This window comes from Homo sapiens, chromosome 22 (genome assembly GCF_000001405.40).
Source record: "Homo sapiens chromosome 22, GRCh38.p14 Primary Assembly".
NCBI lineage: Eukaryota > Metazoa > Chordata > Mammalia > Primates > Hominidae > Homo > Homo sapiens.
Genome location: NC_000022.11, coordinates 38877197 through 38891545, shown reverse-complemented (window position 1 = coordinate 38891545; position 14349 = coordinate 38877197). Strand labels below are relative to the sequence as shown.

At 45.3% G+C, this 14349-nt stretch overlaps 1 long non-coding RNA gene across 1 annotated transcript in view, besides 1 other annotated feature; it reads right to left on the bottom strand.

The window, feature by feature from the left end:
- The window catches only part of LOC105373032 (uncharacterized), a 40173-nt gene extending 34914 nt beyond the window's left edge, over positions 1 to 5259 (bottom strand). Inside the window, exon 1 of the long non-coding RNA XR_938256.2 lies at positions 4539 to 5259. This is a non-coding gene — a long non-coding RNA (uncharacterized LOC105373032). The remainder of the gene's footprint in view (positions 1 to 4538) is intronic.
- Positions 112 to 281: an enhancer, noted in NCBI's record as "experimental_63270 CRE fragment used in MPRA reporter constructs". NCBI's record gives its function as "activates a minimal promoter by MPRAs in K562 erythroleukemia cells, with activity observed for both the introgressed and non-introgressed 22:39287355 variant alleles {active_cell/tissue: K562}" and the evidence as "EXISTENCE:reporter gene assay evidence [ECO:0000049][PMID:34662402]".
- Positions 5260 to 14349: the final 9090 nt, after the last annotated feature.

Here is a 14349-nt window from a genome sequence, read left to right as displayed (position 1 = left end):
ATTCTGAGCCCAGGCCCTTTTATCTCCTTTGTCTCCTTTAAGAAAAGGATGCTCAAGCCTGTCACAGAATGAAAAACATTACGGGCATGCCCAGCCCAGACAGATGGGAGGGAGGTGGATGCAGAGATTGTTGTGGCCAAACTATTTACTGTGTCTGGACAGGACAATTTCAGGATTTGGAAATTCCCCGGCTGCGGAGAGGCAAAGGCTCTTTTCTCTCGCCAGTTACCCGAGCAGCAGCCGGTGAACTGACTTTAATTTAGGATGTGAGGCTATGCTACGCCCTCACAAGGACCCAGCAGAATAAGACCACTGTTCAGGGAGCTGGGTGGCCCCTCAGTTTGCAGAGAATCCATGGCTGGATTTGATGGGTCAAAGTCAGCAGTATATACCCTCCCTAATGTGAGTGATTTTTCTCTAAATCCCACCAACGGTATCCCAAGAAGATAACTGGGCAAGTGCATGAAGACATGTGTTTAAGGATATTCATCGCAGCCTGTCTGTAATTTCAAAAAACTGAAAACAGTACATTTAGATCCATTAACTTCTGATTATATACATGAATAATGTCACATCCATACAGTGGATTACTCTGCACTGTTAAAGGGATAATGGAGATCTATATTTCTTTTTTTTTTTCTTTTTTGAGATGGAGTCTTGCTCTGTCACCCAGGCTGGAGTGCAGTGGTGCAATCAAGGCTCACTGCAACCTCCACCTCCCAGGTTCAAGCGATTCTCCTGTCTCAGCCTCCTGAGTAGCTGGGACTACAGGCGCGCCCATGCCCAGCTAATTTTTGTATTTTTAATAGAGATGGGGTTTCATCATGTTGACCAGGCTGGTCTTGAACTCCTGACCTCAGGTGATCCACCCCCTCCTCGGCCTCTCAAAGTGCTGGGGTTACAGGCATGAGCCACTGCCTGGCAAGATCTATATTTCTTGACATGGAGATAGGTGGATACACCTATACACACACCCACATGCCGATCTGATATACACAGAGTCATTTGTGTACATATTTGAAAAAAAAAAAAAGATGTCTAGGTCATTCACCACACTGCACCGCAGGTTATCAATGGGTAGTGGGAATTAGAATGACATTTACCTTCTTTGGACTTTATGGAGTGTTTAATTTTTTTTACCATGACTATGTATCATTTTTATAATCAAGAGAAACAAAGTGATTCCCATTTTGGGATAAATAAAATTAGCTGTTAGCATTTTTGAAAAGTTTAAAAAGAATTTGTCAATATGTATAAAATTCTCTGCTCTAAAAATGATATAATTTTAGCACAACTTTTTCCCTCACTGCTTCACAGAGGTTTCATTAAAATCAGCTCGAGCTTCCATCTGTGATTTTTAAAATTTTTTTATTTTTTATTTTTGAGATGGAGTTTCCTCTTGTTGCCCAAGCTGGAGTACAGTGGCGCGATCTCTGCTCACTGCAACCTCCGCCTCCTAGGTTCAAGCAAGTCTCCTGCCTCCGCTTCCCAAGTAGCTCGGATTACAGGTGGATGCCACCATGCCCGGCTAATTTTGTATTTTTTTAGTAGAGAAGGAGTTTCACCATGTTGGTCAGGCTCGAAATCCTGACCACCCACCTTGGCCTCCCAAAGTGCTAGGATTATAGGTGTGAGCCACCATACCTGGCCTTTTTTTTTTTTTTTAATTATGTTGCGTTCATTTCAGGAACTCTTTGGTAAAAATTGCACTACACTGCAAAGGTTGAGAACCAGGTGCTGGAACCAGACAGCCTGGGCTCAGGTCTGGATCTGGATTGTGTTATTCATTAGTTCTGTGATCCTGGATAGGTCCTTTAACTGCCGTTTGACTCGTTTAAATTTGGGATGATACAGGAGTTCGAGGTTACAGTGAGCTAAGATTCCACCAGCTTGTGTGACAGAGTAAGACCCTGTCTCAAAAATAAATAAATAAACGTTTAAAAGACTAATTTGAGCTGATAGTACTACAAAACCTCACATGGCTACTCTGAGGATTAAATGAGATGATACAGGTACAGAAAGAACTTAGAACAATGCCTGACTTAAAGCAAGCACTCAGGCCGGGTGCAGTGGCTCACGCCTGTAATCCCAGCACTTTGGGAGGCCGAGGTGGGTGGATCACGAGGTCATGAGATCGAGATCATCCTGGCTAACACGGTGAAACCGCATCTCCACTAAAAATACAAAAAATTAGCCGGGTGTGGTGGCAGGTGCCTGTAGTCCCAGCTACTCCGGAGGCTGAGGCAGGAGAATGGCGTGAACCCGGGAGGCAGAGCTTGCAGTGAGCCAAGATCGCGCCACTGCACTCCAGCCTGGGCGACAGAGCAAAACTTCATCTCAAAAAAAAAAAAAGCAAGCACTCAATAAATGTTTCTACTTTCCTCTTTCTTAAAATTTACAGTCAGCTCCACCATTGATTATTTGGATTGAATGATAGGATATATTTTACTGGCTTCTTTTTTGCCATTGTTACTATATGTTGTTTCGTTTTTTCCCAGTTTTATTGAGAAAACTGGTAGTATAATTGACAAAAAAATGAACATATTAAAGGTATACAACACGATGATTTGATATATGACACACTGATACGTGTATACATGGTGAAATGATTATCATAACCAAGCAAATTAACATATCCATCACCTCACATAGTTACCTGTATGTGTGTGTGTGCTTTAGATTCCACATATAAGTGAGACATACAGTATTTCTTTGTGTGTCTGGCTTATTTCTCTTAGCATTGTGTTCTGTGGGTTCATCCATGTTGTCACAAATGGCAAGATTTCCTTTTTTATGGCTGAATAATATTCCAATGTGTATATATTTCCCATTTTCTTTAGCCATTCATCTGTCAGTGGACATTTATGTTGCTCCCATATCTTGGCTATTGTGAATAATGCTGCAATGAACATGATGGAGCAGATTTCTCTTTAAGATACTGACTTCATTTTATCTGGCTATACATCCAGAAGTGGGATTCTTGGATGAAATGGTAGCACTATTCTTAATTGTTTGAGGAAACTTCATACTGTTACCTATAATGGCTGTACCAATTTATACTCCCACCAACAGTGTCCAGGGTTCCCTTGTCTTCCTCCACATCTTAGCCAACACTTGATATCTCCGTCTTTTTCAAAAGAACCATTCTAACAGGTGTGAGTTGCTAGCTCATGTAGTGTTGATTTGCAATTGCCTGATGATTAGTGATGCTGAGCACATTTTCATATACTTGCTGTGTTCTTTGGAAAAAATGTCTATTATTATTTCTTTGCTCATTTTAAAATCAGGTTATTTATTTTTTGGCTATTGACTTGTATGAGTTCCTTATATATTTTGGATGTTAGCCCCTTATCAGATATATGATTTGCAAATATTTTCTCCTATTTCATAAGTTATCTTTTCATTTTACTGATTGTTTGCTGTGCAGAAGCTTTTTAGCTTGATGTAATCCTACTTGTTTATTTTACTTTTGTTGCCTATGCTTTTGGTGTCCTACACAAAAAATCATTACCAACACCAATGTCAAGGAGCTTTTTCCCTTTGTTTTCTTCTAAGAGTTTTACAGTTTCAGTTCTTACATTTAAGTCTTTAATCAATTTTGAGTTAATTTTTGTGTGTGGTGTATGATACGGGTCCAATTTCATTGTTTTCCATGTGGATATCCAGTTTTCCCAACACATTTATTGAAGAGACTACTCTTCCCCCATTGTGTATTCTTGGCACCTTTGTAAAAGATTAGTTAACAGTATAAGCATGGGTTGATTTCAGGGCTCTCTATTCTGTTTCATTTGTCTATGTGTCTTTTTATACCAGTACCATGCTGCTTTGATTACTGTTGTTTTGTGATGTAGTTTGAAAGCAGGAGTGTGATGCCTCCAGCTTTGTTATTCTTTCTCAAGATTGCTTGGGTATTCAAGGCCTTTTTTGATTCCATGCAAATTTTAGGATTTTTCTTTTATATTTCTGTGAAGAATTCTATTGGATTTTTTTCTTTTTTCCTGTATGTATGTATGTATGTATTTATGTATTTATTTATTTTTGCCTGAGGCCTCCACTTAAAGAGGAGCAATTGAAATTTTGATAGAGATTGCATTGAATCTATAGATTGCTTTGGGTAGTATGGACATTTTAACAATATTAATTCAGGCCAGGCATGGTGGCTCATGCCTGTAATCCCAGCACTTTTGGAGGCTGAGACTGGCAGATCACCTGAGGTCAGGAGTTCGAGACCAGCCTGGCCAACATGGTGAAACCCCATCTCTACTAAAAATACAAAAATTAGCCAGGCATGGTGGCAGGCACCTGTAATCCCAGCTACTCAGGAGGCTGAGGCAGGAGAATCGCTTGAACCCTGGAGGCGGAGTTTGCAGCAAGCTGAGTTGGCATAGGCGACAGAGCAAAACTCTGTCAAAAAAAAAAAATTTGCTGAGTAATGAACCAAAATGACATCACCAGAATGTATTGCTCCCCTGTCCCCCAAATACTCCCCACCACCGTCATTCTCAGTCTTCTAATAGTTGGTTATCTTAAGTGCTTACCTTTTATACCCATTGAATTGTCAACAAATAGCTGCCAATCTCAGGCCTTTCTGGATGCCTAAAATCCAGCAGCATCTATAACATGGATTTTACTGAAAGAGGAACAGTGTTCACAAACTTCTAGGTGAATATAATCGCGCCACTGCACTCCAGCCTGGCGACAGAGTGAGACTCCATCTCAAAAAAAAAAAAAAAGAAAAAAAAAGGATTGAGTGAATTAACAAATGAAGAACACATAGAATTATGCCCAGTACATAGTAGGCCTTCCATACACATCAGCTATTAATACTGTGACATTCCAGGGCCTTTAGACATTTTTATATCTTATGAGGCAAAGAAACAAAAAACCCAATCAGTTCTGTAGAAAATACCTCGTTGATGTAGTTACCAGATTTCCATGAACAGAGGGAAGAATTCGGTAGTGATATGACTCAAACCCAAGGTTGTGGACGAAGGCAGTCCCAAGGGCTCTGAGACTACCCACACAGAAGGTCTTGAGATAAGCATCTATAAATAGGAATCGGAATGGCCCATCAGGGTCACAGAGAAGAATCCTGAATCATTACACAACATCAAACTGCTGAGTAGAGACCCTCAAAAATGGTTTGAAATGACTGAATTATTCCCTTAGTGAGTAAGTAGTTTTTACCCCCAGGAAGACTTGAATTACGTACAGAAATGTAAAAAGAACAAAATCCTAATTATTTATGTATTTACTTATTTGAGATGGAGTCTCGCTCTGTTGCTGAGACTGGAGTGCAGTGGTGCAATCTTGGCTCACTGCAACCTCCGCCTCCCAGGTTCAAGTGATTCTCCTGCCTCGGCCTCCCAGGTAGCTGGGATTACAGGTATGCGCCACCACACCTGGCTAATTTTTGTATTTTTAGTAGAGATGGGGTTTCACCATGTTGGCCAGGCTGGTCTCGAACTCCTGACCTCAGGTGATCCACCCACCTTGGCGTCTCAAGTGCTGGAATTACAGGCGTGAGCCACCGCGCCTGGCCATCTTTTATATTAAGGTGTTTTTTCTATTTTATATTCTTATAATATTTAAGAGAACTCAGTCTATTAAAATAATAGATTGCCTCAAGATTACAATTTTAAATGTGTAACTGAGTAAATGATCTGGACTTGGGATTTGCTCTTTTACACGTAGTACTGGAACAGCCAGTCAGACTTCAAGCTCATATTTATATGCTAAATGCATTCAATTTATAAGAATTGCTTCAGCACTTAAGAAGGTTTGTCAGCCAATTATACTTAGGAAGTTAAGCAAATATATTATATGTGATGAATAATGCAATATGAAAAGTTTAAAGGAGTTTAAGTTCGTAAATGAGACCAAAATTAATCAGAGCCTTCTTAGAAGTGATTGCTAAATTTGCTAGATCTATAATTAAAATAATAAGTTATTTAAGCTGAAATTAAAAGTGTAAGGACAAACTAGGTTTTTCCTTTTATTTATAACTTTAATAAATTGAATATTAATTTTTAAAACTTAAGAAAACCCCTGGATAATCTTTTCTGCACATAAAATCTGCCTTTCAGGGCATCCAAAAATTCACATTAATGTGCATATGAGGTTGAGGTTATTTGAGACAGTCCTGTTACCTCTTATTTCTGTTCATGTGGGGTCAAGAATAGGACAAGTTCGGGCCGGGCACGGTGGCTCACGCCTGTAATCCCAGCACTTTGGGAGGCCCAGGCAGGCAGATCACGAGGTTGGGAAATTGAGACCATCCTGGCTAACATGGTGAAATGCTGTCTCTACTAAAATACAAAAAATTAGCCAGGCGTGTTGGTGTGCACCTGTAGTCCCAGCTACTCGGGAGGCTGAGGCAGGGGAATCGCTTGAACCTGGGAGGCAGAGATTGCAGTAAGCCAAGATCACTCCACTGCACTCCAGCCTGGCAACAGAGCGACACTCTGTCAAAAATAAAAATAAAAAAGAATAGGACAAGTTCTCAGTAGGCCCCTGGACTAACCACCCAGCACCCTTAAATTCACACAGGAACTGGCTTTTGATCATAACTCTTCCAATTCTGCACACCATTCAGCAGCTGCGGTTCACACAGGACCCTGGGAACAGAGAATCCCCAGCCCAAATGGGGTTGAGGTTGTGGCTCACAATGTCCCCCAGAGGGATGTCCTATCTCCATGTGAGAGTCACTGGGGCTCCAACCTGTCCCAGAGTCTGAGGCTGGAGTGCAGCAGGGTTCCCCCATGGCTCAGAACATGATTATCAGGATGTGGTTCCCTTAGGCGGCATCTTTATTGGCACCCCCAACAGGTGACGCCCGCCCTGGACAGCCGGACCTCCCAGGTGGATGACAGACCTCCTTGCCTCTCCAGGTGGCGGGGGATACATCACAAATCGGAGTCATACACACAACACTAGAGAAACGGAAGAAAGATGATGCATTTTGGTGGTGACAAAGGTGGGAGCAATCTCCCAGAGCTAGGGACTCCCGAAATTGGGTTGGGTTCTAAACTAACTACATAATCAGACTGATGCGTTCTTCTGTTGGCTGGCTCTGCCTCACCACGAACTCCACACCCCTGGAAAATCCCTCCCAGGATTGTCTGGGAGGTCCAGGTGTGTCCCTGGGCACAAGATCTGGGGTGCTTAGCTGGGCCCAGCACTTTCTCGGGGCTTCTCTGCTGGGTGTGTGCTTTGGAGGCAGAACTCAATGAACCCACCAGAAGGCTCCTTTCTCATTTAACCTCTCAAAGTTTCTCTCCTAAAACAATCCCAGAACTGCTGTGTTACGACAGGAACAGGAACCTCACAGCCGATCTCCTATCAGCAAGCTTTTGATATTGTCAATCCCCTTAAGGGGCCCCCTCAAGACCCCAGGGAAGGGGATGAGGAGGAAAAGGCAAAGGTGAGGGGACACATAGTGGGGGGTCCTCCTCCTCCCGCCAGGGCGGAAGGCCCCAGGTGACTCTGGTCCCCGCTGTGAGCAGGGATAGGGCACCGCACCGGGGCCCAAATGCTGGGGAGGGCAGGCGGTCAGCAGCACGGGTCAATGGCCAGCCTTCTCCAGCCATATGCCAGCCCTCTGCTCCAGGGCAGGAGTCCACACAGCTCAGCAGAACTGGCAGAATGGGGCTGGGTGCGGTGGCTCATGCCTGTAATCCCAGCACTTTGGGTGGCCGAGGTGGGTCGATCACCTGAGGTCAGGAGTTCGAGACCGGTCTGGCCAACATGGCAAAACCACATCTCTACTAAAAATACAAAAATTAGCCAGGCATGGTGGCAGGCATCTGTAATCCCAGCTACTCAGGAGGCTGAGGGAGGAGAATTGCTTGAACCCAGGAGGTGGAGTTGCAGTGAGAGCCATTGCACTCCAGCCTGGGCGACAGGAGCAAAACGCAAAAAGAAAAGAAGAAAGAACGAAAGAACAAAGGAAGAAAGGAAGGAAGGGAGGGAGGGAGGGAGGGAGGGAAAGAAAAGGAAAGGAAAGGAAAGAAAAGAAAAGAAAAGAAAAGAAAAGAAAAGAAAAGAAAAGAAAAGAAAAGAAAAAAGAAAAGAGAAAAGAAAAGAAAACTGGCAGAATGGAACCCAAGAGAGGACCAGCCTCCCAGCACCCCCTTGTCAGGGTGCCCTAACTTTCCTTAAAGTGAAAAAGATTCTGGAGAAACTAGCATTCCCCCTAAACCACTAAAATGTAGTTGGAAGAAAAAAAACAAAACAAAAAACATGCTGCCCAGCAAAACAGGAAGAGCAGGAAGAGAACAAGTTTGCACAGAGCTGAGAGATGAAAGACATCACGCCAGAGCTTTGCATCTCTTCTCATCTGCTTCGCATTCACTGGAAAGAGGTGTCCGGACGAGGGGCCTGTGGGAGCCAGAAGTGCCCCTGGATTTTATCTGCAATTGCTCAGGTGTCAGTTTTCCCACCGTGGCCTTGACCACCCCTTGTCAGTCCCGCAGACCTTGCTGGGGCGCCCCTGGCCTGACAAGCCAGACTGTTGTGGAAGAAAGGAACAAACGCTCTTCTTTAAATCATTGTATTTCCAAGTGTCTTTGTAGAGAAGCCCTAATTAACTAGCAGACCAGAGGGGAATGGCTCCCTCCGTCTTGGGCACCCATCTGTGAGATGGTGCCCAGGCTTGGAGTTTCCAGGGAGTTTCCAGCTCTTTCCATTTTAATGTACAGCCTGTTGCCTCTCTGAATATACATCGGGGAGGCTGCGCTGCAGCAGATTGGAAATGCATCTGCCTCTTGGCCCTCGGAACCTCACCCAGGGCTCAGCCTCTGCATCCAGCTTGCTGTGCCAGGCCCCTTCGCCTCTGCAGTGAGTTGTCACTGGGGGCCTCCTCCCTGTACTTGGATCAAGGCCCAGGCTCTCCTCCATGGCCTGCAGGGCCCTGCCTCCCTCGCTGACCTCACTCTCTCTGTCCACTCGGCTCCAGCCCCGCTGGCTTCCTTCTGTCCCTCAGATATGCCAGGTGTGTCCCTGCCTCAGGGCCTTTTGCTAGGAAACCTCCTCTCCCAGATCTATACAGCTGCCTCCTTTTCCTGGTGTGGGTCTCATCTCAGATGTGGCTGCTCTACAGGCCTGCCCCAGCCACCATGCTGAGCACCCCACCCATGCGCCCTGTTCCTCTCCACTGTGCATTCCTATTCAGCCTCTTCACAACACATATCTGACTTGAAATCATCTTGCCTTGTGTGTTTGTTGTCTGTCTGCTGCCCCCATAAGAATCCAAGACTCTCAAGGGCAGGGACTCTGTCTGTCTTGTTCTCTGCTGTGTCCCCAGCTCCTAGAATAGTACAAGCATATGATTGAAGCCCAGTAAATATTACTTGACTGTCTACCTAGTGTCAGGCCCTGTCCAGGGAACAAGCAGCACAGGGGGCCATGCCCTCAGGGAGCTCATGCTTTGCAGGGAGGTGGCAAGTCACCAGGAAGAACTCTCCTGTGTTCTTGATGCTCTATAAACACCAAAATGGGGCAAAGGAAGGCTGGCCAGTTCTACCTGGCAGGGCCAGATATGGCTTCATACAGGAGACCCCAGAACTGAGTTTTGAAAGATGCATAGGTGCATCCCAGGTGAAGGTACAAAGGTGTGGAAAAGCGGGGACCACCCGGGAACAGCAGGTGGTTCAAAGAGACCCAACGAAGAAGGTGTGCAGGTTGAGGGTACAGGGTGTAGGGACATGGGGAAGAGTTGCTCTGCCACGAGAAAGAGCTCAGGCTTCCTCTAGAGACAGCAACAGCCACTAAGAGGTTTTTTCACTGTTGATATTTTGGCTCCTTCAATGTTGAAACATCTTAAACAGAGGAATGACTTGGTCAGAACTGCACTTCCAAATAATCCCTTTGCCAAAATTGGCGTTTCCCGTGTCCCTTGCCCAATCATGACCGTATTCGGGCATATTTCCAACGACTCTGCTGCCCTCTTTCTAAAAATAGCGAGCCTGTCTTCGGAGGCACAGAATTTCACAGTGCAGTGTTTCAGAAGGAACTCTACACGTCTCTATTCTCTACATGTTCAGGGGCTCACACTGTCCCCTGAACTCCTGTATTTGGCTTCTTTGTCCACAGCTTCCTAGGTCAAATAGCATCATGTGGCTGGACTCGTTGGGCAGCAGGAAGAGATAAGGGAAGGGCATTAAATGGAAGAAGAAAAGTTTCATTCACCTCTGAGTCTTCCACATTTGGATAGAAACTCAGTATCCTCAATAGTAAAATGGAATAACAACAGCATCTACCTCGTAGGATCCTTTTGAGATCAAATTATTAATACCTTTTCTCTAATCAGGTAGAGATAGAAAAGAAGAAAAAATAAATAAATAAATTATTAATACTGTATGTAAAGCTCTCAGAAGAGTCCTTGAAACATAATGAGTTTTTTTTTTTTTCTTTTTGAGACAGTTTCACTCTTGCTGCCCAGGCTGGAGTGCAATGGCGCGGTCTCGGCTCACTGCAACCTCCACCTCCCAGGTTCAAGAGATTCTCCTACCTCAGCCTCCTGAATAGCTGGGATTATAGGTGCCCACCACCATACCTGGCTAATTTTTTTTTTTTTTTTTTTTTAAGTAGAGACGAGGTTTCACCATGTTGGCCAGACTGGTCTCGAACTCCTGACCTCAAGTGATCCTCCTGCCTCGGCCTCCCAAAGTGGTGGGATTATAGGTATGAACCCTATAAGGAGTTCTGTACAACGTGTTAGCTGTTGTTATTTTTGGTCAATACAGCTTCAATTTCTAGAATTGGTCCAATATACTTTCAGTGGAAGAAAAACATATAAGTGTATACGTTGTGTGCGTGTGTGTGTGGGGGGGTTGTGTGTGATGTTCATCTCTCTTGAGGTATAAACTGGCTCAGAGCATATATAAACGTACACTTCCACCACTGCAGACTTGCTGTGTGCCCAACACAGTTGCAGATGCTGATATATATCATATGTTGTTATCCTCATGAGAATTCTACAAGCTAGGAATGATTATCTCCATTTTACAGATGAACACTGAGGCTCAAAGAGGTTGATGATGAAAAGTTGCACCGCTGAAATTCATCCGTGTGCACATCCATCTCTTCAAGCATCTCAGTTCCTCCAGGGCAGAAATCCCATCTTTTCTACTTTGCATTCCCAGAGCCCATTGCAGAGAGGGGGAGAGAGATGCAGCAAGCAGTTGCTGGACCTGAATCCCTATACATGTTATATGGTCAAAATTACTCTTAACAAGCCCTTCAATGGCACACCCAACAAATATTAATTGGAAAATATATATATATGAATTGGATACCTACTGTGTGCAGGGCCCTGTGTTAGCACTGGAGAAAAAGTGGGAACCAGATGGGCAAAGTCCCTGCCACTGTGGAGCCTGGCGTCTAGTGAGGAAGTCAGGCATTAAATAAATGGTCATATTAAACAAACCATTCCTATAACGCCAGATAGTGTTAAGGACCAGGGGAAAAAATAGACATTGTAACCAAAAAGTGTCTGAGACAGGCCTCGATCAATTGAGAAGCTTATATTGCCAAGGTCAAGGACATGTCCGGAAGATAGTGAATTCGGGTCCTGAGTTTTTATTTTTCTTTCTCATCTATGGGGAGAGAGGGTGGTGGGTAGGAGTTGGGGCTCCTTTACATAAGGTCATCAGAGGAAATCTTTTTGAAGAGGTAACATCTGAGCAGAGATTGAAAGAACTGAAGAAGCCACCGTGCCACCCCTGGGAGAAGATGGGACTGTTCTAGGTAGAGGGAACAGCAAGGATCAAGGGCCTGGGGTGGGAGCAGCTTGGAGTTTGCAGAGCCTATAAAGTACCATACTCAGCTGCTGTGTCTCATCCCTCCGCAGTAACATCTGTTCCCTGCTCGGATCCCCAGGGGTCCCTGTTCTATGTCCCCCCAAGCCCACCCATGTGCCTTTCCTCCAGCAGCCAGCATCTATAGCTCTCCTTCCAAAGGCCATCCCCAGGGTACTGAAGCCACTTTGCAGACAGAGGCAGAAAGCAGCACGTGTCTGGGGGATCAACATTCCCCCCACCTAATACCCTTGCCCTGCAGCCTGTAACCAGGGTCTGGTGGGTGGGGGAAAATATTGAGGAATAACTTACTCTCCAGATCCCTTGAGGCGTGAGGCTGGGGCCACTCACTGCAGGACTTTAGCTCGACACCTTACTCTCTGCTTGCTTCCTTCCCTTTCCTATCTTGCTTCACTCATTCCCTTAGCAATCTCCCCTGGGAGCACTTCCTTAATAAGTCACTTACATGTGACTAAGACAATCACATAAGGGGTTGAGTTGCAGCAGTGTGCAGTGTATAGTGATAAAGACATCTGCAGAAAATCATTTTACATTTTCTAAATGATGGAGACAAGTGCAGAGTTGACTCTGTGTTGAGTTAAATGTCCAGATGATGCCACACCCTCCACATTCTAACTCACACCCCAGCCCTCCAGGACCTCAAATCAGGGACAGAATGAAGGCCTGTGGCCTGTGGTCCCAAGCTCAAGGCACTGACTTCTGGCATCAGGGAGGGGATAGTCCATTCTGGAAAGTGGACTTGGATAGATCTTCAATGGGATTGGAGCTAAAGTACTCTTTCCCAATTCTGACACTGTCCACAGCCTTAAGAGACTCTGTGCCTCAACCATGCCAGGCTGACAGTCGAAGCCTGGGACAAAGCTACCTCCTCCCATCCCTGAGTCCCTCCTTGCCCCAGGTGCAGACAAACTCTGTTTGGCAAAGGCCTCACTCCCCATCCCTGCAAAGCCCAGTTCAGCACCTTCATTCCTTGATTTGTCCCACAGATATTTATGAGGCACCCACATGTGTCTGATGCTAGGGACATGGAGGCATAGCCCATGAGTCCCAACCACACCCAACTGGTAGAAGTCACAAAGGTAAGATGCCCAGAATTCTGCAGGTGCCTTTGTGAAAGGAGTGTCTGGCCCCAGGGATCCCATCAGCTTTAAGCATGAGCTGTGTCCCAACTAGGGACCCTTGAGGTAAATTATTACAATAATAGCTCTGCGTTCCCTTTTCAGTGTGACCCTGCCACTCCTCCCATCCAGGCATGGAGTCTCTTTCCCTGTTCCTGAATCTGGACTGGCCTGATATATTAGTTTGCTATGCTCTATCACTGATTGCTTAAAGCAATACCCCTTTATCATTTCAGTTTCTGTGGGTCAGAAGTCCAGGCACAGCTTAACTGAAGTCTCTGCTCAGGGTCTCACAGGCTGCAATCCAGGTGTCAGCTGGCGCCACATCCCCATCTGAAAACTCAGAGTTCTCCTCCAAGCTCAGTGGCTAGTCACAGAATTCAGATCCTTGTGATTGTAGGACTGAGGTCCTCAGCTCCTGGAAACCACCCACCACCGTTCCTGCCACATGGCCCTCTCCACAACATGGCATCTTGCCTCTTCAAGGTCAACAGGAGCGCAATTCCACTGCTTCCAACCTTTCCTCTTGGGAGAGGCTTGGATTGTCTTTCAAAGAGCTCGCCTGATTAGGTCAGACCAAGATAAACTCCCTTTTGAATAAGTCAAAGTCAACTTAAAGGACCTTAATTATGTCTACAAAACCTTGTTTGTTTGTTTTTGAGACAGAGTGTTGCTCTGTTGCCCAGGCTGGAGTGCAGTGGCACAATCTTGGCTCACTGCAACCTCCGTCTCCCAGGTTCAAGTGATTCTCCTGCCTCAGCTTCCCCAGTAGCTGGGATTACAGGTGTCCACTACCACGCCCAGTTAATTTTTGTATTTTTAGTAGAGATGGGGTTTCATCATATCGGCCAGGCTGGTCTCAAACTCCCGACCTCAGGTGATCTACCCACCTCGGCCTCCCAAAGTGCTGGAATTACAGGCAGGAACCACCACACCCGGCCTGTTTTTTCAATATAACCTAATCATGGGAGCAAAATCCCAACACGTTCCTTAGGTCCCTCTCATGCTCAAAGGGAGGGGATTATACAGGACATGTACACTGGGTTGGGGGAGGCAGGAACCTTAGTGGCCTTGAAATCTGCTCACCATACCTTGTGACTTGCTTTGACCAACAGAATGCAGAGGGAGCAATGTTGTGTAAGTTCCAAGGCAAGACCTTAAGAAGCTTTGTGTGTCTCTCACCTTCTTGTGTGACTCCTGGAACCACATAAGCAAGCTTGAAGTAGACTATGAATGATGAGAGACCACGAGGAGAGAGAGGCCCAGCCAGCATCCAGTACTATGACTCCAGATGTACACATCAAGCCTTGGCCTTGTCTCTGACCGTGGCCACACCAGTTACCCTATACAAGAGCAGGAAAGAGAACCATCCAAAGTGCCCGTCAAACACAGAATCATGAGAGATAATAGAT